This window comes from Homo sapiens, chromosome 1 (genome assembly GCF_000001405.40).
Source record: "Homo sapiens chromosome 1, GRCh38.p14 Primary Assembly".
NCBI lineage: Eukaryota > Metazoa > Chordata > Mammalia > Primates > Hominidae > Homo > Homo sapiens.
The window spans coordinates 215,014,498-215,040,332 of NC_000001.11; the positions used below are offsets into that span (position 1 = coordinate 215,014,498).

The 25,835-nt window shown below is 34.9% G+C and overlaps 1 protein-coding gene across 2 annotated transcripts in view; it reads left to right on the forward strand.

Annotated features, from left to right (window-relative positions):
- The window catches only part of KCNK2 (potassium two pore domain channel subfamily K member 2), a 231,549-nt gene that overhangs the window by 8,956 nt on the left and 196,758 nt on the right, over nt 1-25,835 (forward strand). The window contains exon 2 of one of the 2 annotated variants that reach the window (XM_017001249.2): nt 21,770-21,857. The exons of the other annotated variant lie outside the window; for it this stretch is intronic. Within the exon in view, the coding sequence (XP_016856738.1) occupies nt 21,854-21,857 (4 nt within the window). The 5' untranslated portion in view covers nt 21,770-21,853. The remainder of the gene's footprint in view (nt 1-21,769; nt 21,858-25,835) is intronic. 2 annotated transcript variants of the gene reach the window in all.

Here is a 25,835-nt window from a genome sequence, read left to right on the forward strand (position 1 = left end):
AGAGAAATTAGTGATCAGCTGTGGAACAATACTGTTCCATCAAGAGGGTAGTAGTCTAGAAATATGTAATAAAGAAAAACAAGTGAAACACATAATTGATCAAGTTTAATGAACTAGGCTCAAAAAATTGATTGTTTATCATGCTAATCCAAATGTGATGTGAATTAAGAAACCACATCCAGCCAGGAAGACTGCTCATTCTCACCCCACTGTAATCAGGTTTTACTTATACAAGGAGACCATCTGGTAATTTTTCCATGAACTGATAAGGGTGTGTTCCTTTGGCATTTCCATCTATCCTGAGCAGCATAATAGGTAAGTTCCATAGAGAGATGAATTTTCCACTGTTGGTGGAAACCCATATTTATCTTTCTGTCCAGTTGACAATACAGCTGTAAGTTGTTTTAATGATATTATGATGTCAAATATAAGAATATTAGCTAAAGGGAGAGAGCTCTAAACTCCGAAATTAGAGTAACATAGGCTAGTATTGTAGAAGTCCGCTCCTTTCATCCAGGCACAATGTGAGAGGTCAGGAAAGCATATCATAATGGTTATGAAAGTGAACTCTGCTCTTAGATTGTCTGGTTTGAACTTGTGAGCTGGCTGACATTAGGTAAGTCACTAAACATTATATTGGACATTTTAAACTTAACTAGTTTAAAGCTCCTTTCCAATTTCTCTCTTATCTCTAGTGTCTCAGATGTGAATTCTCTGTTTTTTGGGGCCTGAGTCTTTGGAATTTCTTTTCTATATTGGACTCCCTCATATTGTATCCTTAAATTCCTCACTTTGCTAGGAAAAATTTCCTCTCTAGTCCATTGTGTGCACTGGCTGTGGTTACCTCTCTATGGAGTGATTTTTGGTAACCCCAGATCATATCTGACTGAATTAGCAGGTTCTAAGCCATTTTTCTTGTCAACTTTTTAGCTCGAGATTTCTGAACCACATAAAATTGAGGCTTCCACAAAAACCATACAGGCTCTGGGGTCTTTGGCGGGTAACTCTTTATCCATTCATGACCTGAGATGGATAATTAATTTCTAGATGAGCCCATGGTTAGCAGGTGGACATTTTTTCTTCTCTGTTAAAAATCTCAGTGACAGAGACGTGTGCTCCCAGCATCATTTTGCCCATGGAGCTTCAATTCTTTGTTATCACCTTTGACTCCCTCTCAGTTGACAGCACTTGTAGATTCTTTGTTGTGTTAGAGCTGAAAAAGTTACAAAAAGGATCTTTAATGTATTGAAGGGTTAGCAGAAACTAGATGAGATCCAAGGGGAACAAGTAAATGCAAAGAAAAATAACTATGGACTGAAACGATAATACTGAGCAAACATAAAATTGAGGGTTACCTTGGAGGCAAATACCAATACCAGGGCAGAGATCATGAGCTTGGTCTCTGTCTCAATTGGAAACCTCTCCATTAAGTAAAAGCCTTGGAAGGAAGCTAAAGTGGTTTCAGATCAGTAATCCCTCTAGCCTCTTTCTGGAGAAAAGCATTTCCAGGTCAGGCCCCCACGATCAAGCGAAACAAAATGTGTATGTATAATCAAAACTTACTGAATACCCAATGCAACAAGCCACATGACTGAAAGTCAATAAAAATGACAAACAACAAATTAGGGATCTAGCAACTAAAAATATAATAGTTGAAACACAAAACTCAATTAACAGGTTGAACACTAAAGAGAGGATTAATGAATTGGAAGGTATGTCTAAAGAAACTATTCAGAGCATGAAGCATACGGAGACAAAAAAATGAAAAATACAAGAGTTAAGAGATATAGAACACATAAGCAATCTTGAGCAAAAAGAACAAAACTGGAGGCATCACACTCCCTGATTTCAAAATCTACTATAAAGCTACAGTAATAATAAAACAGCATGGTACTGGCATAAAAACAGACACATACACCAATGGAACAGAATAGAAAGCCTAGAAATAAATCTACCAATTTATGGCCAACTGATTTTTGACAGATGCCAAGAACACACAATAAGGAAAGGGCCAGTTACTTTAATAAATCATGTTGGGAAAATGGAATATTCACATGCAGAAGGATAAAATTAGACTCTCATCTCACATAATATATAAAAATTAACTCAAATGGATTAAAGATTTAAACATAAGATCTGAAGTTGTAAAACCCCTGGACAAAACATGGGAAAACTGCATGACATTGGTCTGGACAATGTTTTGTATATGAACCCCAAAGCACAGGCAAATGAAAGCAAAAACAGACAAATGGAATTACATCAAACTGAAAGCTTCTGAACAGCAAAGGAAACAGTTAACAGAATGAAGAGATACTGTAAGGAAAAGAAGAAAATATTTGCAAACCATTCACTAATAAGGGGTTAATATCCAAAATACATAAGGAACTCAAAGAACTCAAGAGCAAGAAAACAAATAACCCAATTAACAAATGGGCAAAGGACCTGAGTAGACATTTCTCAAAAGAAGACATACAGACAGGTGTATAAAAATATGCTTAACATCACCAATCATTAGGGAAATGCAAATTAAAACCACAATGAGATATCACCTCGCCCTATCAGAATGGCTATTATCAAAAAAGATGAAAAATAACAAGTGTTGGTGAAGATGTGAAGAAAAGGGAACTCTTACACACTGTTGGAGGGAATGTGTATAAGTACAGCCCTTTTGGAAACAGTATTGTGGTTCCTCAAAAATTTAAAAATAGAGCTATCATATGATCCAGAAATCCCACTGTTGGGTGTATATCCCAAAGAAAGAAAATCATTTTATCAAAGAGATAGCTGCATTCCCATGTTTACTGCAGCACTATTCATAATAGTCAAGGTATTAAATCAACATAAGTGTCCATCAGCAGATGAATTGGTAAAGAAAATGTGGTATATGAACAATAGAATACTGTTTAGCTGTTAAAAAAAGTAGGATATCTTATCATTTGTACAACATGGATGAACCTGAAGGACATCGTGTTGTATAAAAGAAGTCAGACAGAGATGGCAACTATTACATGACTTCACTTATATGTGGAATCTCAAAACATTGAGCTCATAGAAGCAGAAAATAGAATGGTGGTTACCAGAGACTGGGGTTTGGGAAGATTAGAGAGATGTTGGTCAAAGGATACAAAATTTCAGTTAGGTGGAATAAATTCAAGAGATTTATTGTACAACATGTATAGACTATAGCTAATAATGTATACTTGAAAATTACTAGGAGAATAGATTTTGTGTTCTCACCACAAAACAAGTATGTGAGGTAACGCATACATTAATTATCCTGAATAGCTTTTCCACAATGTATACATACATCAAAACATTATGTTATACACCATATATGTATAATTTTTACTTGTCAATTAAAGTAAATAAATAGTGTCCAGCAGACACAACATGAAATGCCAAAAATGGTGGGCAGATACATGTGAAATTCTCCTTGGGCAATTGATAAAGAATGAAAAAATAACACACATCAAGTATTCAATTGGAGATGCATTTTGAGAGAATGAAGGAAAAGTAGTCTGCAAATAATTAGTGGCTGATAATTTTATATAAATTGCATATGCACAATTGAGAACATATATAATAAAGCATGTATGTAATAATATGTATGATGTAGATATTGATATATTTCCCAGCTATGTCCAATATAAAGGTCTAGAAAAAAATCATCAGACCTCCAGTAGCAAAATAAATCTTCAGTATTAAAATTGTGGTTTTGATTGCGAATGAGAATCTTTAGCATCAAAGTTGTGGTTTTGTCATTTTCCCACTAAAAGAATCCAAACATCTTTGAGAAATGCATGGGTCCAAGTGTGGATCAAGAAATGTAGAATATCAGTCTGGAACATCTTACATTAGATAGTAAAGAAGCTCTCATGACTAATTATAGGGTCTTGTGATTGGTTCCTGCCTATCAAACCAATTTTAAAAGGCCACTATTAATGGGACAATTTGAGCAGGATAACAACTGCAATAAATGGAAATCCATCAAATATTTAAATGCATGAGTTCATGATGATAAGAAAATAATTAGAGACTCAAGGAACTCCTCTTTAAAAACGATAGTTAAATGGAAATGGAAGGGTAAGTAAGATAGAGCCAGTGAGAATGCCACAGATAGTATATGTGCACAGTATGAAGATGGAAGAATTCAGTCCTATGTGTTGGGAGACAAGTGAGTGGACAGGAGAGGGGGTCAAAATGAGGTTGGGGAATTACGCATGGCCAGTCATTTCAGGATCATTTAGTCATGCTAAGGATTTGGTCTTTCAATTCTAAACATAATGAGAACTTCTTGGAAAGTTTCCTGCAAGTAAGAGTCACGATCAAATTTGCATTCTTAAAAGATCACCCTGGCTGCTATGTGGCCAATGGATTGGAGGGGTCAAGAGCAGAATCACAGAAAGGGAGAGCTCAGGGCCACTGCAGGTGAGAGATGAAGCTGGCTAGACCTGACAAGCACTTGTGGGGTGCAATTCTCTCTCAACACACACACACACACAAAAAAAAAACCATCTAAGAAAGACCCTTTGCTCTCTGGAGTAACTTCATAACTTGCCATGTCCTACGTATCTGATAACATGAGCCCTGTTGTCCTTATTCCACTGTTATCAATAACTGGTTTTCTCCAACAGAAGGTAGATTCTATGTAATGTTTATACTTATAATAAAAAATTGGTAGGTCCTCTTCAAAGAACAGCTGTCTAGTAGAGTGATTTCACTTTGCTTTTAAAGTTTTCTGAGCAGATAAAATTGCTTACTATTATACTTCGTTTTTACCTTTTCTGATGCAAACGATAGAACTTCAAAAACAGCATGTTGCAATAGAGATTTTGTGTTTCTTACTGAGCTCACATATAAAGAAAAAAACCTGTTTGTATGTAAAAAGGAGTTATTCTCCCCTAGAGAAACACCATGAGCAGGGCTAATAATCAGCTGAGACACCCAATATGACAATGTCAGTTGTTCATGACAATGTCAGTTAATGGCTAGTGTCCATTAGTTGCCGCATCTGTTCCGACTGGTCAGTGTCTATGCGCTCATGGTTGTTAAATATTTAAAACTCATTCTGTTCATGAATATTGAATCATATTTACAATTTTCATTTGGAATACATTTTAATTCATTCACCTTCTATGTTATTGGAATTAGAGGGAGAGAATAGACAACATTCAGAATTGCCACATACAATCCTTTCTTTGGAGAGGCAAGGAAAGATTGTTAAAAAGATTTATTGTAGACACGTTATAGGTTGTCTCTTCTTGCATTCTCTGGTTTTTGGTATGCTTGGTTATTCTCCGTGAAGAAACATTCTAGCTGCCTTGCCTCTCTTATGCTTTTCCTCCTTTCTTTGGCACAATATTATTGTTCTGTTTTTAAAAAGGAGACTACAATTTTTCAAAAATTTCAGGTTGTATTTTAGATATAGAGGGTACATGAGCAGAGGGACCACTATATATATATATTTACCATATTGTACTTAAGAGAAAAAAGAATAAACAAGATAATTTATTTCACCCTGAGTCATTATAGATCTATTCATCAAAGTTCATAGCATTAATTATCCCTTTTTTCCCTTGTTGAGTGAGTGTACATTTTCTACCATTTCTGCCAAACCTTTGGTAATTCGTTAGGTTCCTTTCAGAGGTGTGGCACTTTGGATGTTTTCAATGGGAGCATTCTTTAAGGATGGCTTTGTGCTGTGAACTCTGTTAATAATGCTTTGGACCAAATCTATTGAATAAATGTATCAAGCTTAAAAATAGTATTAATAATCAAAGATAAAGTCTGGCTACAAAGATATTTAGACTTCTTGAATGGCTTCTAAATTGGTGATAACACTTATTTTCTTGTGGGTCTCATATACTGTCTCAGAAGCAAACTTTGAAAGAGGAATCCCCAAAATACGTTGAGCCTCAGTACATTTCTTTATTTAATTTATTTTTTGACACAGGGTCTGGCTGTGTTACTTAGGCTGGAGTGCAGTGGTGCAATCTTGGCTCATTGCAACCCCTGCCTCCTGAGTTCAAGCGATTATTGTGCCTCAGCCTCTTGAATAGCTGGGACTACTGATATGCGCCACCATGCCCAGCTAATTTTTTGTATTTTAGTAGGCACGAGATTTCACCATGTTGCCCAGGTTGGTTTTGAACTCCTGAGCTCAGGCAATCCACCCACCACAGCCTCTCAGTGTTAGGATTATAGGAGTGAGACACCGTGCTGGGCCAAACCACAGTACCTTTAGATCTCAATGGTTTTCCAGTGTAACAAGTGAAAAATGATACTCATTTGGATGTGTAAATTATAGAGTTTGCTTTATACTTTATGCTACATTCTCGCCATATACTGTCAGATGCATTATTGGGATTAAAGACTCTCCAAGTAAAATGTCATACATAGGATATCACCTTTCAATTTCATTTTATAAGTCTCCTGGTCTGCCTACCTCTAATCTTCTAGTATAATATAAAAAATTCAATCGTGGTGGGAAGACAATAATTTCAATTATTTTAAATAATTCAAATTTTTTAAATCACACAGAGTTTATATTTTCAATGATGGATGAGAGTTGGATATTAGATATTAAGAACATATTTTTTAACTTTACAGTAATTTTCATCTATGTTTAGACAGTGAAAAATTATGCTTCAGGTAGTCATATTAAGTACCTGCAATTCTCAGCTTACCAACGGAACGGTTTAAGAAATATGATTTTATTTTCCTATAAGTGAACTTAAGTTATATTTCAAGTTCCCTATTTCATCTGGTTGAAATTCAATCTTGGTCAATGTGATGGTTGATTTTAGGTGTCGGCTTGACTGGGTTAAGGGTTACCCAGATAGCTGGGAAAGCATTATGTCTGGACACATCTCTGAGGGTGTTTCCAGGAGAGGTTGGCATCTGAATCGGTGGGCTGAGTAAGGAAGATCTGCCCTTACCCAAGGTGGGCAGGCACCTTTCTATTTGTTGAGGTCCTTGCTAGAACAAAAAGACAGAGGAAAGATGGATTTGCCCTCTCTTCTGGAGCTGGGACAACCATCTTTTTTTTTTTTTTTTTTTTTTTTTTGAGACGGAATCTCGCTCTGTCGCCCAGGCTGGAGTGCAGTGGCGCGATCTCCGCTCGCTGCAAGCTCCGCCTCCCAGGTTCATGCCATTCTCCTGCCTCAGCCTCCCGATTAACTGGGACTACAGGCGCCCGCCACCACGCCTGGCTAATTCTTTTTTGTATTTTTAGTAGAGACGGGGTTTCACCGTGTTAGCAAGGATGGTCTCAATCTCCTGACCTCGTCATCCGCCCGCCTCGGCCTCCCACGCCTGCTGGGATTACAGGCGTGAGCCACTGCGCCCGGCCACAACCATCTTCATCTGCCCTTGAATATCAGAATTCCAGGGTCTTAGACCTTTGGGTTCTGATATTGTACCAGCAGTACTCAGTTTCTTAGGCCTCAGCCTCAGGCTGAGACTTACAGCACTGGCTGCACTGGTTTTCAGGCATTTTGGCTCAACTGTATTGTACCACCAGTTTCCTTGGTTCTCCAGCTTGCAGATGACACACTGTGGGACTTGGCATCCATAATCATGTGAGCCAATTGCCACAATAAATCCCCTCCTATCTATCTATCTATCTATCTAATCATCTATCTATCTAATCCATCTATCTATCCTATTGTTTCCTTTCCTAGGAGCACTCTAACAGTCAATTTGGAATTTCTTCCATTGTTTCAAGGTCTTTTCCAAGTCAATTCAGGATCTTCCCAAATCCCATGTTTTCTTCTGGGTTCTAGAACTTTAAGAGGCCCAAGATCTTGGTGTGGCTATTTTGACATCTGCCTTGGAAGTATTTGCTGTGACATCACTGGTTGTTGAGTCCTCCACAGGTTGTAACCATGTCTTCCTTGCCCTTTGTATCAGATCTCTTCAAATCTGCTTGGCAATTTATGAGCTCCTCTTGTGAAACAAGAGACGTGTGTGGCTCTTCTCTTGTGCCATTCTAGGTCCACAGGGGATTTTCAAATTTGTCTCAGCCTTTTTTTGGCTGAATACCTTATGGAACCATTACTATTCAAATGCTATCATGCCAAGGAGGGCACAGGATATTTTTTTAAAATGCACTCCCTTACTAAGTTCCAGGTCACGGGCTCCATTCAAATCCCTAAACTTGTCTGAAGATGTGCAACCTTCCTTCTGCCTAACTTGGCCTATGGTTTGGGGAAGGTACATGGCCCTTTCCCAAAACACCAGGAACATCTAATCTGCCTTCTCCCTGATTTTTCTCTTCTTTTCCAGCCCAGCTAATCTTTATCTTGTCTAAAATGGGAAAGAAAGAAACAAACCCTGGATTTCACAACTTTAATGTTTATGCAAGGACTTTGACTTTTAAAGTGAAAGTCAGTGATTTACTCCTTCCTTCTTTCCTTCCCAGAGGCCATGAATCTAAAAGAGACTTTATTAGTGGGGTTAGAATCACATGGGTAAAAAGAATTACTAGAAATGGAAAGAAACAACTCAGTGATACAATATCTAAGTATGAACAGTATGCCTGTTAACACATGGATTTCCACAGCCTACAGATTTTGAAACTGAAGTAGGTGGCCCTGAAATATGAGCCTTTCGTTTTAATGGAGCTATTGCTACTGTAAAACAACTGTATAAATCCTTTCCAAAAAATCCCTTCTTGCATTTTAGGAACTTTCTCTAAGGCTTGTTATTATTATTATTTTTTTTGTATCTTTTTTTCCTGTATGGTGAGAGAATGAAATTTATTCTTGGAAATACATAAGCTCTTTGGGCTCAGGCCAGCCCTCTACTACAAAGGCATCTTCCTGTGCACTCTTCTTGACAGAGAACCCTGCCATATAATCCAGCTGTGCATAACTGAATGTGCCAGTTCAGTAATCCTTTAATGAATCACCTTTTAAAATCTGCCCCTCAGCCATAAGTATGTCACTTCAACATCATTTTATACTCTGAATTGAATTACATTAAAGCAGTTACAGCATGGAAAGAGGCAAGAGTATTTTACATTAAATCACTGGACAACAATCATAATCAATAGTTGAGTGCCCTAGTCAGTGAGCCCGACCATGTTATAAACTGATTTGGCTTCGACGACTTTTCCAGCTAAAGTCCAGCAACCAGTGAATGTCATTGCGTAAGCACCAAATTCCTGAATTTGTTTTGACATATATTCTCATCAGTAATGGCAATGATGCAGAACAATTGCACAATTTTAAAAATAAAATTTTGGGTTTGCAAAACACTTGGCTTTCCAGGTGAAGAAATTTGCATGAGAGGTGGCTCAAAGCTATGTTGATTTAGATGCAGCTTTTATCTGAGATGTGTCCAACCTAAATCCTACATTATACTCTATTTTGTTTTGCTTTGTCTCCCCTCCACTTCACCTTGCTGCCTTTAATGTTCTTGTCATTAGGACACAAAAGAGGAGAAGGATGAAATCTGCATACCTAGCTCTGCGGATTTTCCTAACCATTGCCAGGAAAATCCAGCAGGGTGCAGAAGTAAAACTGCTGCCAAGGAGTAGGCAGGAGAAAGGAAACATGGTCCTTTATGGATGGGGCATTTATTTTGCTTCTGGAAGAGTAAGGTGGCATGAACTTCCTAAGGCAGGTATAGGGATCTGAGTGGAGCAAGTGCTTCTGCACTGACACCTGACACCCTGTGGACTCACTGGAACTACCAGATGTTCCATAGGCATCTGTGGAACAAGGGTGACAAGAGACACATGGAATAAAACAATCTTTGAATGGGGCCAGTATTAGGTAAAGGACTTGCAGGCTGGAGCCAAGCCTAGGACCCTCCCTGATGTCAAGGCTGCATCCATATCAGACTCTCATACGGTTAGTGCACAGTTTTAAGAGGTCCAGTATTGCAGGAGCCCAGTTCACTTACGCAGTGAATAATATGTTTCTAATCCTAGCATTCAAGGCTGTATAAGCCTATGCCGTCTTTCAGACTTCTAACATTGCTTTCATACAAAAACACTTCCTCTAGCCCAGGTTATTGAAGGAGTAGGCTTAAAGATGTCTTGCAATATTTTGCCATAATTTTTTTTTCATGTAATTGTTCTGACATCTCAAAATCTTACCTATATACTGAGTGCCACCTCCTTTATAAAGCTTTTCATGCCTGAAATTCCCATTGAACAAATGTTGCTTAAATATCAAAGAGCCCTAAATGAGAAAAACAAAACAAAACAAAACATCTCAGCAATTAACTTTTATACACTGTGTAGGAGACTATCTAGGTACTTATCAAACATGTTTTAGCGGTATATAAAACCAAAACCAATTGCCCCACTCTTGTCTTTATATCCATCTCCACCCACCAGAGCTAACAAATTTAATAGCCTGTGGACTAAACTACATCTTTCTTCTTGCTCAAACAAATATATGTCTATAAAACATATGTTCATTATGTATCTACAGGAGTTTTTTTTTTTTTTTTTTTTAACTGAGATAAAACAGTGTTACACACATTATGTTGCAATTTGTGAATTTAGCCTTATAATATGTCTTGGACATAAATTTGTTAAAAGCTAAGCTATCTGATGGTTAAGTGCCAAGGTTTTAGGGTCACAGTGCCTGGGTTCAAATCCAAACCCTGGAGCTAAATAATCATGTAACTCTTCATAAATTACTTACTTAACCTCTTAGTTTTCTCATTGGTTAAATGAGGATAATATTTTCAATATTATTGTGGGATTATGGTGATGGTTAAATAAGTTCAGACATAAAAAGTACTCTAGAAAAGCACACTCAATAAAGGTGCTATAAATTGCTCCTCCAGGTCAGAAAATATGCATACATATGGACTTTTATACTTTTATGTAAGTGATATTATTATAAGGCTTTCTTTTCAGTATAACATTTTCTTTCCTTTTTCTGTTTCCTTATTTGTTCCCTATTCCCTGTCTTCATTCTCCTATATTTACCTCTCCTACACCACTTACTTTAAGTAATATAAATATTAATACCTGTAAACCCCCTTAACTAGTGTGGACTAATATGTATTATTCTGCATTATTTCAAAAGATTCCCTAAGTTTATGTCACATTATATATTATGTGCATACATATACACATATATGTGAGTATGTTTTTGTCATTATTTGCACTACAGAAATAAACCATATTGTACACAATTTTTCTTGCATCTTACTTTTTTCTGAATCAGTAGTAACTTTTGGAAATCCATTAGGTCTGAAAGTATAGCTGAATAATATTCTGTGCTGTGGATTACCGTGGTTTATTCCTTTGTGTACATATTTTTGCCACTACAAAGAATGCTGCAATAAACATCTGGATTCACATGTCCTTATTTACTGGCAGCTGTATTTCTATGGAATATATACGAAGGAGTGGGATTGCTTGGTCAAAAGGTTTATGTATTTTTACATTTTAATAAATGTTGCCCAATTGCTTTCTTAAAAAGCTGTACCAATTTACATTTTTAGCAGCAATGTAGAACATGCTTTGTTCCACATATCCCTACCAACAGTGTTATCATTATTTAAAATTTGTGTTGGCCTCATAGGGTTAAAGTGATCATTTATTATTACTTCAGTTTCTGTTTCCCTGTTAGTGAATTTAAAATATATATACACATATTTTTTGGCCATTTGGATTTACTCAACTGTGAATAGCTTATTTATATCTGTTGCTCATTTTTCTTGTCAGGTGGTTGTTTGTTTCTTATCAATTTTTAAAGCTCTCTTCATATAATTGTAGCTTTTAAACTCTTATCTGTCATCTGCATTGCAAACATGTTTCCTACATCTACCATTTGTTTACTGTCTTTATTAATAGTATCTTCTGCTACACAAGTTTTTTATTAGTTTCTTTCCTGGTCTTCCCCAGAAATCCTAGTAAAACAGTAATATCATATTATTTTTAACACTTTAATCCATTGATTTTTTTGTAAATAACATGAGATGGGTTTATTAATTTTTTTAGAATGAATAGCGGCTTGGGGAGAAATTTTGTAAACAGGTCACCTTTTTTTCTCCCTGAAATTGAATAACCCCTGGACCAATATCCAATTCTAATGTATACACTCTGTCTTTTCTGGATTCTCTCTCTGTTCCACTGATTTACTTTTTCATATATCTGCCATCCCTATATTGTTTTGATTTCAGTATCTTTATGGTATATCTGGATACCTGGTTAGGTAAATATTCCCTTATTTTAATTTTAGTTTATTCATAGGATTTTCATTCCATATGAACTTTAAGTTTTTATGCAATTCAAGTTGAAATGAAACATAACTGAATCTTGGAATTCTATTGAGAATGACATCATGTGTATGTGTGTGTGTATGTGTAAACAAACATATACATACGTCCTTATCTTAGGAAGACTAATTTTTATATTAATTTATTCCATTTGAAAACAGGGCATGTAATTTTATTGTTTCAGATCATTTTTCATTCTTACAACAGGATTTATAGCTTTCATGGGCTCTATCCCTTGCTTATTCTATTTAGTTTACATTGTCATTTTCAAGGCATTTTTTTTCTCCTCTTTCTTTTTCCAAGTATGTTACTAGGAAGGAAAAATTTATTAAGTCTGCTTACCTTGTTTATACACAGTCATTCTATCAAATATTCTTATCAATGCCAGTAGTTTTTTTCTCTTTGTAAATCTCTTGGATTTTTAAGTACATAATCGTATCAGCAAAATGGAGATAATTTTATCTCTTCATTTACAAAATTTCTAACAACTCATTTCCTTATCTCACTGTTTTCATTGGAGTTTTCAAATTAATATTGAATAAACATAGTGATAACAAGCTTTCTGTTTGATTCCTGGGTTTTATTGGATTCTTTCTATCGTTTCGATGTTGAGAATACATTGAGTCTTGGTTTTGGTAAATATCGGAAATATTTCCATTAACTTTTCTGTCTTACCTAAAGATTTTTATTGGGATTAGCTGTTAAATATTATCAAATGTCCCTCCAACATCTATTAATGTGATCATATGAGATATTCTGGAATTTGCTGAAATACTAAATTATGTGGATGCTAATTTGAACCTCTTCTTGCACACCCAGAGTAAACCCTACTTGGCCAGTTTGGGGTTTTCTGTTGACATACAGCTGGGTTCTGTTTGTTAATATTCTATTTAAAATATTCACATGTACATTCCTCCGTGTGATTGATCTATTTCAATCATGTTGATACTTAATTTATGCTAGATTTATATAAAATTGGGAAACTTTCCATATTTTCTGTAGTATAGATAGGATGAATTTCATTTTTTAAAAGGAGGTTTGATAGACCTCATCTATGAGAATATCTGTTGGATCTAACTTGCCTTCCATTCACTTCTGTAGAAATTGGCCAACAAAAGTTTCTTTAGTTTACATTGATAACTTTGAATTTCACTAAATATGATCCTTTCCCACTAGCATTTAAAGTTAAATGCCATAGATTTGTTCACAATATATCTTAATATTATTTTAATTCTTTCTGGAGTTGTGTGTGGTTGTCTCATTTCTCATTCCTAAAAATATTAATTTTTTTCTTTTTTTTCCTTTTGGAACTAAGATTAACATATTTATCTAATTTAATGTTCTTTAAAAATAGCTTGGGCTGGGCACCGTGGCTCCCGCCTGTAATCCCAACACTTTGGGAGGCCAAGGTGGGTGGATCACCTGAGGTCAGGAGTTCAAAACCAGCCTGGCCAATGTGGTGAAACCCCGTCTCTACTAAAAATACAAAAATCAGCCGAGCGTGGTGGCGGGTCTGTAATCCCAGTTACTCAGGAGGCTGAGGCAGGAGAATCGCTTGAACCCAGGAGGCAGAGGTTGCAGTGAGCTGAGATTGTGCCATTGCACTCCAGCCTGGGCGACAAGGGCAAAACTCCATCTCAAAAAATAAAATAAAATAAAGTAAAATAAAATAAAAAATAAAAGAATAACTTTTGGGATTCTGTCTCAATTTTATTATTATATTTTACAAGATGTTTGTACTTTTAATCTCAGCATCATCTTTCTTAATTTCCTCTTTCTACTTTCTCTTGTTTTGTCATTATCATTTTAATTCTTATGAAGCCTACTAACCTAAATTACTTTTAGTTCTTCTTCTTTAATAACAGACATTTAAAAGCTATGCATATTTCTTTGAATAAAATTTTCATGTTTGACCTATTATATTCAGTGAAATGCACAAATCATAAAGGTACCGTTCAGTTTTGATAAATGCATTTACCATGTGACTTATATCTCATTAAGATAAAGAAAATTTTCACCACCTCAGAGAGTTCACTCATGACCTTTTCTAGGAAATCCCTTCCCACTCCTAGACAACATTGTTCTGATTTCTATACACCATAGACAGATCTTGCTGTGTTTGAATTTCATATAAATTGAATAATTTAATAATTCATTTAAATGTAAGCTTTCTTTCATTTAGAATAATGTTTTTGAAATTCACTTATTTTAAAAAACAGGCTTTTTTTTTTTTAGAAGAGTTTTAAGTTCATAGCAAAATTCACTGAAGGGTACAGAAATTTCCCACATACCCTTTACCCCTGCCTCCATACATGAAAAGCTTCCCGCAATATCAACATCCCCCACCAGAGTTTTTTTAAAATTGACAAACTCACATTGATACATCATTATCTCCTAGAGTTGATAATTTAATTTAGGGTTCACTTTTGGTGTTGTACATCCTATGACTTTGAACAAAATCCACCAGCATAGTAATCATACAGAGGAGTTTCATTTTCACTGCCCTAAAAATTCTCTGTATTTCACCTAATTCATCCCTCCCTCCCCGACCGCATGGTAACCTCTGATGTTTCTCCTATCCCCATAGTTTTGCCTTTTCGAGAAGTCATATACTTGGAATCACATAGCATATAATCTATTTGGATTTTTTTTTCACTTAGTGGTATTAATTTAAGTGTCACTCATGTCTTTTCATGGCTTGATGGCTCATTTCTTCTTAGTGCTGAATAATATTGTTACTTAAGAATTTATATAAATAACAGAATATATTTAGATATTTAAATATAAATATATCCAAATATATCAAATATATTAATATATATTTAATATATAAATATAAATATTTGATATATTTAATATATTAATATATATTTAATATATGAATATAAATATTGATATATTTAATATATTTGGATATACTTAAATTTCAAAAACAGAATATTATTTTTAAAATTAAATTACCATCACTTAATATGATTATTAATATGAAACAAATTAATATCATTAAATAAAAGAAGCCAATCTAAATAAACTCCAGACTGTATGATTCCACAGTGTACTTCCATTCATCTCATGAAGGACATCTTTGTTGCTTGCAAGTTTTGACAATAACGAATAAAGCCTCTATAAACCTCTGTGTAGGTTTTTGTGTGGACATGTTTTTGATTCCTTTGGATAATAAGAAGGAGCACAATTACTGGATCATATGGTGGGAGTATGTTTAGCTTTGTGAGAAATTGCCAAACTGTCTTCCAAAGTGGCTGTACTGTTTCTCACACCAGAAATGAACAAGAGTTCTTGTTATTCCACATCCTTGCCAGCATTTGGTGCTCTCAGTGTTCTGGATTTGGGCCATTCTAAGAGGTAGTATCTTATTGTTATCTTAATTTGCATTTTCCTGATGACATGTAATGTGAAGCATCTTTTCATACGCTTATTTGTCATTTGTGTATCTTCTCTGATGAGGTGTCTGTTACGGTCTTTGACCCGTTTTTTAATTGGGTTGTTTGTTTTCTCATTGCTGAGTTTTAAGAGTTCTTTTATTTTGGAATACAGTCCTTTATCAGGTATTTCCATTGCAAATATTTTCTCCCAGCTTGTGGCTTGTCTTTCCCTTTTCTTGATAGTCTCTTTTGCCAAGCAGAAAATTTTAATTTAATAAACTTTATTGTTTATACATACTTTCTATTATGGATTGTGCCTTTGGTGTTGTATCTAAAAAGTCATCACCAAAGCCACAGCCAGCCTGCTCAGTGTTTTAATGATAATAATAACAAATTTTCTATGTTACCTATCTTTTTTTTTTTGAGACAGAGTTTCACTCTGTGGCCCAGTCTGGAGTGTAGCGGTGTGATCATGGATCACTGCAGCTTCGACCTCCCAGGCTCAAGTGATCCTCCCACCTCAGCCTCCCGAGTAGCTGGGACTACAGGTGTGCACCACCATACCAAGTTAATTTTTGTATTTTTTTTTTTTTTTTTGGTAGAGACTGGGTTTTGTCACGTTGCCCAGGCTGATCTCAAACTCCTGGGCTCAAGTGATCTGTCCACTTCAGCCTCCCAAAGTGCTGGGGATTATAGGCATGAGTGACTACATCCAGCCTCTTGTGTTATCTTTTACAAGTTTTATAGTTCTGTGTTTTACATTCGGTTCTGTGATTTCTTTTGGGTTTTATGAAGGATGTAAGATCTGCATCTCGATTCATTTTTTTACATGTGGATACTCAGTTGTCCAGCATCATTTGTTGAAAAGACCTTTTTTTCTCCATTGTATTTCCTTTGCTTCATCGTCGAAGAACTGTTGACCATATCTATATGGGTCTGTTTCTGGGCTTTCTTTTCTGTTCCATTGATTGATTTGTCTATTCTTTCTCCACATTGTCTTAATTACTGTAGCTTTATAGTAAGTCTTGAAGTCAGGGATTATCAGTCCTCTGACTTTTTTACCTGCAATATTATGTTGGCTATTCTAGGTCTTTTGCATCACCATATAAACTTAAGCATCAGTTTGTCGATAGCCACTGGGATTTTGGTCAGGATGGCATTGAATCTGCAGATTAAGAAGCTGTGAAGGACTGACATCTTGACTATATAGAGTCTTCGTAGCCATGAACATGAAATATCTTTCCCTTTATTTAGCTCTTTGATTTCTTTCATGAGTTTTGCCATTTTCTTCCTAGAGATCTCATACCATTTTTTAGGCTTACACCTAAATATTTTGGGGTGCTAATATAAATAGTACAGGTTGAGTAACCCTAATCTGAAAAGGTGAAATCCAAAATGTTCTAAAATCCAAAAAGTTTTGAGCACCAACAAGATGCTTCTTATTTTTGGATTAGGGTGCTGAGTTGGCATAATGCAAATTCTTCAAAATCTGAAACAATATGAAATCTTAAATATTTCAGTCCAAAGATTGAAAATAAAGGATATTCAACCTGTATTGTGTTTTTAATTTCAAATTCCACTTGTTCATTACTGGTATAGAGGATACCAATTGATTTTTGTATATTGACTTATATTCTGCATTCTTACTCAGATTGTTCAGTAGTTCCAGGAGTTATTTTGTTAATTCTTTTGGATTTTCTTATTATATTTCTTATTTTACTTTTTAAAATGCTTGTCCTAGAGTTTCCAATATATGTTTACAGTTAATCCCAGTCCACTTTCAAATAACATTATACTACTTCACTGCTAGTGCCAGTACCTTATAATAATACAAAATAATTCTAAATTTTCCCTCCTGTTCTCGTATCATTGCGGTCAATCATTTCACTTGCACATAAGCATACACAATCGAGTACAGTATATTGATGCTATTATTATTTTGAGCAAACTGTTATCTGTTACATCAATTAAGGATTTTTTTTTTTTTTTTTTAGAAGGGCAGGGACAGTGGTTCATACCTATAATCCCAGCACATTGGGAGGCAGAGGCAGGAGGATCACTTGAGCCCAGGAGTTTGAGACCTGCCTGGGCAACATAGGGAGACCCTGTGTCTACAAAAAATGTTTTAAAATTAGGCGGGTATGGTGGAACATGTCTGTGGTCCCAGCTACTAGGAAGGCTGAGGTGGAGAATCGCTGGGCTCAGTAGTTCAGGGCTGCAGTGAGCTGTGATCATGCCACTGTACTCCAGCCTGGGTGACAGAGTGAGATCCCATCTCAAAACAAAAACAAAAACAAAAAACAGTAAACTTTTTTTTTATAATTTTACCTTCACTTATTCTTTCACTTAAACTCTGCCTTTCTGTATGTAGATTTGAGTTTCTGATCCATATCATTTCTCTTCTCTCTAAAATACTTCTTTTAACACTTGCAAGGAAGGTCAACTAACAACAGATTTCTTCAATTTTTGTTTGTCAGAAAAATATTTCTCCTTTACTTTTGAAGGATAATTTCCCAGCGTATGAAATTGAGGTTAGTGGATTTTTTTCTCTCAGTATTTTAAATATTTCACTCCACTTTCTTCTTGTTTGCATGGTTTTCAAGAAGTTCGATGTAATTATTATTTTTGCTTCTCTGTAGGTAAGGTGTTCTTTTTCCCTCTATCCTCTCTAAGAATTTTTTCTTTATCCTAATTTTTTTGTAGTTTGAAAATAATATGCCTAGGTGTAGGTTTCTTTGACATTTATCTTGAATGGTGTTCTCTGCGATTCCATTAATTTGAAGAAATTCTCTGTCATTATTGTTTCATATATGTCTCCATTTCCTTTCTTTCTTTATTCTTCCAGTATTCTCATTATATGTAGGTTACACTTTTTGTAGTTGTCCCACAATTCTTGAATTTTCTGTTCTGTTTTTCAGTCTTTTTTTTTCTCTTCACTTTCAGTTTTGGAGGTTTCTATTGACATACTCTCAAGCTCAGAAATTCTTTCCTCAGACATGTCCACTCTATTAATGAACCCGTCAAGGCATTCTTCATTTCTGTTACAGTGGTTTTGATCTCTAGCAGTTTCTTTTCTTTTTTTTTTTTTTGTAGTTATTTCTAAAAAATTTAATCTCTCTGCTTATATTGTCTCTGTTCTTACATGGTGTCTACTTCAATTAGAGTCCTCAGCATATTAGTCATAATTGTTCAAATTCCCAATTTGATCATCTCAGCAGCCCTGCCATACTTGAGTTTGGTTCTGATACTTACTCTGTCTCTTTTAACTGTGTTTATTTTTTATTTTTTTGCCTTTTGGTATGTGATTTTTTTTCTTGAAAGCCAGACATAATGTACTGGGTACAAATAACTGTTGTAAATAGGCTTTTAGTAATGTGGTGGTAAGGTATGAGGGGAGGAGAAGTGTTTTACATTGCCATGATTCCATTTCAGTCTTTTAGCGAGCCTGTGCTTCCAACTGTGACTGTGAACTTCACACCTGCTTCTCAGTGCCTCAGTAACTCCCCACCCCATTAGATGGGACAGGATGGCTAGAGGACTGGAGTTGCTTATTTCTCTTCTTCCATGTGGAAGGATAGAGGGGTCTGGGGTTGAATATTTAGTCTCCGATAAAACCCCAGCAGGTAGGCTGTGGTTAAATAATTTCTCCTGAGGGCAGATCTTCCCTAGTAAGAATAGAATGCTCTGATATGTTTCAAAATGATTCCTTATTTAACTTTTCCCTGTCTGAAGCATGAGGGAATTTCTCCCAGTATTCACTGTTGTGAGTCTCCTCACAAAACTGTGGAGACCTCCAATGACTGGATCCCTTTGCAAGTTTTATCTCTTGGTCTTGTCTACACTATGTCTTCAGTAATTCATCAATTACATTTCAGGTTTCCCTACATAGTTTCCTTGGTGGTTTCTGCTCCAGTGAGTTGCCCTTCTTTGTATTCTCTTGTTGTTCTCTCCAATTTAGGGGGAATTGGTTTGTTCCATGATCTCAATTCTTTGATGGATCTAAAAAGAGTTGTTGACTTTTTTAGTTTATTCAGCTTTTTACTAGTTAGAATGGAGTGGTGACTTCCAAGTTTCTTATGTGCCAAGAATAGAAACTGGAAGTTCATGTTTTAAAATCTCTCAGTAATTCAATGCTTTTCATTGATGAGTAGTATTCTATTGTATCTATATACCAAAATTTGTTTATACTCTCCCCAGCTGATGGGCACTTATGTTGTTTTCATTTTTTTTTTTTTGCTAGTGTGAATACAGTTACTATTTTGTACAAGTTTTTTTGCGACCTTATTTATTGATTTCTCTTGGTTCAATAGTAAGAATGGAGTAGTTGAATCCTAATGTAAGCATGTATCTAACTTTATAAGTAACCGTCTGTTTTTTGAAGGGGTTTTTATCATTTTACAGTATCACCAGAGGGCTTGAAAGTTCTGGTTGCTGCACATGCATGCCAATATTTTGTGCTGTCAGTCTCTGTAGTTCAAGTCATTCTAATGTCTAGTTGTTCCAGCACCATTTGTTGAAAAGACATTTCCTTCCTCCACTGAAATTCTTTGATGCCTTTGTTGAAACCAGTCATCTATCTATGTGTAAGTTTGTATTTGAACTCTCTGTTCTGTTTCATTGATCTATTTTTTATCTTTACATTAATATTGCTTTATCTTTGGACAGAACAAGGGAATGTATGAATGTTTACTAACCCATGTACATACATATCTCTATGTTTCTGTATCTACTTATCCGTAATATTTTAAAATATACATGCATTCATGTTGGTATTGATTATCCCAGTCCAGCATCACGGATTCTAATTGCCCTCACCTATTGCTTATTTGTAACATTTTTTTCTCTGACAGTGAAAAACCTGGCTTCCATTACCTACAATTTATTTACTTATTTGTTCACTTCTAGTATACAAATAGTTTCAAATTTGCTAACTCCTACCCCTGTGAGAAACAAATTTACCAACTCGAGTTAGTGTTTGTATACACATAATTTTGTCTTTGTACTTATAGTATCCAGTAAAAACAATTTCCCAAAGTTAAGTCAAAAGCATTTTTACCTTTCAGTGATGTAATGTCAAACATTTGTAAGAGTTGTTTGTTACAGTCCACATGCTATCCTGTCAACCCCTGACATCCTGGTTAATTTTTATAAGTTTGCAGAGTTCACTTTTTGTATTGTACAGTTCAGTGGGAATTTGACAAGTGCATAGAGTTATGAATCTACCATCCCAGTGCCATACAGAATAGTTCGATCACTCTACAAATTACTCTATGTAGCTCCTTCGTTGTCTTCTTTTTCATCTCCCAATTCCAGGAAACCACTGATCTGTTCTCCTTTCCTATCGTTTTGCCCTTTTCATAATGTCATATGATTGAATCTTACATATGTAGTCTTTTGGTCTGCCTTCTTTCACCTGGCAAAATATACTTAAGGTTTATCCACGTTGTTACACAAATCACCTGAGTAGTAACCCATTGTATAGATATACCATAGTTTGTTTATGCATTCACCTGTTGAATGAAATCTTCGTTCTTTCCAGTTTTTAATATTTGAATGAAGCTGCCATAAACATTTGTGGGCAAGTTTTTGTATGAACATACGTGTTCAATTCACTTGTGAAAATAGAAGTGAGATTGCTGGTTTCTATGGTAAGTATAGGTTTAAATTTATAAGAAAATGTTAAATTACTTTCGAACCCAGCTGTGTATTTTTATATTTCCAAAAGCAGTGAATGAGAGTTTCTATTGCTCTGCATCTTATCAGCATTTGGTATTGCGGATTTTGATTGGTTTTGAGGAGTTTTTTTTTTAAATATATTCTGAGTATTTGTCCTTTGTCAAATATATGCATAGGAAACATATTTTCCTAGTCTACTGTCTTTTGATATGCAGAAGGTTTTAATTTTGATGAATTCCAATTTATAATTTTTTTATGGTTAGTGCTCTCTGTTAACTGTGTAAAAAAATCTTTGCCTACTTCAATGTTATGAAGATGCTCTCATGTGTTTTTTTTTTTCCTAGAAAATTTATAATTTTAGCTTTTACTTTGAGGTCTGTAATTCCCCTCAAATTGATTTTTTTGAGTGTGTATGGTGAGATAAACATCATGATTCATTTGTTTTCCATATGGATATCCAGTTGTTCCAGCACTATTTGTTGAAAGGACATTCCCTTCCTCCACTGAAATTCTCTGATGCCTTTGGTGAAACCAGTCATCTATCTATGTGTAAGTCTCCATTTGAACTTCTATTCTGTTCCATTGATCTATTTTTCTATCTTTACATCAGCATGGCCCCATCTTAACATTCGCTTCATAAAAAGTTTTAACATTAGTTTAAAGTTCTCCAATTTTGTTCTTTTTTTTTTAACTTTGCTGTAGCTATTCTATATATTTTGAATTTTAAAATATATTTTAGAATCAGCTTGTCAGTTTCTTTAGTGTGCCTGTTTAGATTTTGAATTGACACGTGTTAAATCTGTAGATCAGTTTGGGTAGAATATTTATGTCAACAGGATTGATTCATCTAATCTTTGAATATACTCTCCATTTACTTAAATCTTTGCTGCTTATGAACAATGTTTTGTAGTATTCAATGTACAGATTTTACAAACATTTTATTAAATTTTCCCTTGGTATTTCATATATTTTGATGTTTTTGTGTGTGTTATTGTTTAGTTAATTTGATTTTCCAATTGTTTGTACTAGTATATAGAAATTACACTGATTTTATGTTTTGAGCTTGTATCCTGCAACCTTGATAAATTCACTTATTTGTTCTAATATTTGCTTTGTAGATGCTTTAGAATTTACTAAGTGATGCCATCTGTAGATTTATTTTACTTCTTCCTTTTCATTCTTAATGCCTTTTATTCCTTTTTTTTTTTTTTTGCCTTATTGTACTTGCTAAAATCCCAGTCCAATATTGAAGTGGTAAGAATGAATATTCTCATCTTGCTCCTGATCTTAGAAGGGCAAAGCATTTATTATTCAATATTTCATTATTAAATGTGCTACGAGCCATAAGGTTTTAGTGTTTCTTGTTTGTTTTCTTTTCGTAGTCAATTATTTATCTGGTTTAGAAAATTGCTGAGAGCTTTTTCTTTGTGATTAAGAATGATTGGTGAAATGATTTCTCTATATCTATTCCAATGATTGTATGATTTTACTTTATCCTTTATTATTTCAATGAGGTGAGTTATACTGATAGATTTTCAAATGTTAAGCCAATCTTATGCTCCTGAAATAAAGTCTGATTGGTTGTGATGAATTGACTTTATTATATATTTCTGGGTTTGAGATATTAATATTTTGTTCAGGATTTATAGGTCTAAGTTCATGAGGGATATTGATTTCACATCTTCTTTTTTATAATGACATTGCAAGATTTCGATAAGGGTTATCTTGACCTCATACGTTAAATGTTAAATATGTTAAAATTCCTTTCTCCACTATTTTCTGAAAGAGTTGTGTATATTATTTCTTACTAAGTGTTTGGCAGAAATCACCAGTGAAGTTACCTGAGCTTAGACTTTTCCTTGTGGGAGGTTTTAAATTGTGAATTTAATTATTTAACAATTAATAATGAATATTAAGATAGTAATATAATTAAGATTATCTAGTTTTTCCTATAATTCTTAATAATTTGTGTTATTCAGAGTATTTGCCAATTTTATCAAATTGACTGGCATTGTTTTTTCTGAATATGTCCTTATTATCTTTTTAAGACTTGTAGAATCTGTAGTAATTTCTTTTATTCATAATTATGGTTATTTATATTTTCTCTCTTTCTTGAGATATCCTTTAGGATATACCTAAGGTATATCTTGAGATATACCTTAGGTGGTAGAAGGCAGCTGGTGTGTTCAGTGATGTAGGTTGTCAGTCTTCTTCCAAGACACAAGGAAGAAGATTCTAGCTCTTCAGTCTCCTTATGTTCTCCTAATCTTGGGGCAAGAGCAGAAAATTCAGTCTACCTTTTTATCTTCAACTCTTTATCTTTATTTTTATCTTCAACTTTTCAGAGATTAGAGACCCTGAATCTCATTAGGAACATTGTAGACTCACCAGTCCCCTCCAGGGCTTTAAGAATCTCAGCAAGTAAGCCTTCCCTATGGTAGTCCTCATTCATTTCCTTGCCTTAGGGCTCATCAATATTGTCCTCTGAGCTTTAGTCAGGTCCCACATGAAGGAAGTTCATGACTCTTTTGTTCATGTCATCTAGGAAGGTCTTACTTGCTGTTTCCAGCAGGTGCTGGGCTTTCAGGAGATAGAGAACTGTGGTAAGAGTTGAGAGTGAATGGAGATAGTATGTTCAGGGAGTAGCCCCTTCCATTTTCTGGGTCCAAACTTTATTCTTTAAATTTAAATTTGTGAACATCATCTAGAAAGTTCTGTCTAAGGATTCACCTAACATTTCCAGCATTGAAGACAAGCTCTGGAGTCACTCCTTGTTTTTAATCTCTATATATCTAATTTTGTTCCCAATGAGTTTGCTAAGGGACATAAAAACAGAACCAATGGATTATACTTCTAGAACAGGGAAGCCTTTTCCTTTGTTCCTTGGTATATTTTAAAGAAATGTTCTTCATTAATAATAAATGTGTATGATTATCTGAAATTTTCTCTCAATTCGATCCTTCTTTAAACATCACTGAAACCACTGAAAAACATTTTATTCCCAGCACTTCTGCTTTTTGAATGCCACTTTATTTCTTCTATTTCTCCTCTCTCTCTCTTCTAAGGTCATTTACATAAAAATGGAATCTTAAGATGGTTTATCAATATGTTATGATCATTTTTACCTGCAGCAGAGAATACTCACATTTGTTGTTGCCATGGAAGCAATTATGCTATGAAAAAAAAAAGAATGAAGATTTCAGTTCGGGTAGAATTTAGGTTGGACTGACAATGTCGGTGAAATGAAAAGGTGCCTACTATTTGTACCTGAAAGAAAACAAGATACAAATCAGATAGTAATTATTCATTTTGTTTTAAGACTATCTATAAGAATGCAAAATCAAATTTGGAGTCAATTTGTAAGTCTTGCCCATACACTAAAGCTAACAAGAGAGTGCCATTTGGTGTCCTGATTGGTCTTTAACCTTTATCAACTACATTGACCTAAAAAAAATTACTCCAACTTGAATATACTCCTCTTTTAACAAGCTAATCTTGAAAAACAAAATTAATCTTGAAAGATGAAGGGTAGCTCGATCAGCCACTTATCAGAGAAGCCACTGAGTTATATAATAATTTCCTTAGCACCTCCACTTCGGAGAATCTTTTTTCTAGTTTTGCAATAAACCCCATCTATAGTTATGTTTCCATTATATTCCAAACTAGAAGTGAATCATTGCCAAATAACATAGTATTGGATATTGAAGAGAAGTAACTTGAAGGTAAGCTATTTTGTAATTTGATAGAGGAACTCAATTGAAATATAAAGGTAATCACAAAACTTAGAGAGGAGGCAGAGAAGAGAACACTTTATGACTTCAGAATACCATTAACATTATCCTCAGAAACCAAACACAATTTTTTTAATGGACGATTTAAATATTTTTTCTCTTTAAATTCCCTTTCTACAAGTGCTTTTCTCAATTCAGACTGTGGATAGTTCAGAACTTGGATCTTTGCCATCGCATGCAATTTGCTTTCTAATAATTTTTTATTTACATCCTGGAGAACTCATCTTCTCTGAACATCCTGAGATCTAGGTACTTGGGACAGAGGAGGGATGAATGAAGGCTTTTCCTATCGTTGTTTGTTGCCTTCCGGGAGAGTGGAATTTCTACAGTGATTTACAATTAACTGGAGACTGAGCAATCTGGAAGTGCCACTTTGCAGAACATTATGGAATGCCATTCTTTGGACATTTTTACAAGTGGGGAGGGATAAGCATGGTATAAGAGAAGGAGCTCTGGATTGAGGTTTTAATGTATTTCAGTTCCCGTGCTAAGTACTTTACATTACATTACAGTGACACCATGGTCACAGGCTTTTGAGTCAGGAAATCTGGGTTGGATGTGAACTCCCCACTTAGCATTATGGGATGTTAGGTGAGTTATTTAACCCATCTCTGCTTTATACCCTTATCTAATAAGAAAATAATAATTTATCAGCCTTAGAAACTTGTTACCATTAATTCTTAAATGTGTCCATAAGACAAATAATACTATTGTTTCCACTTTACAGATGACAAAA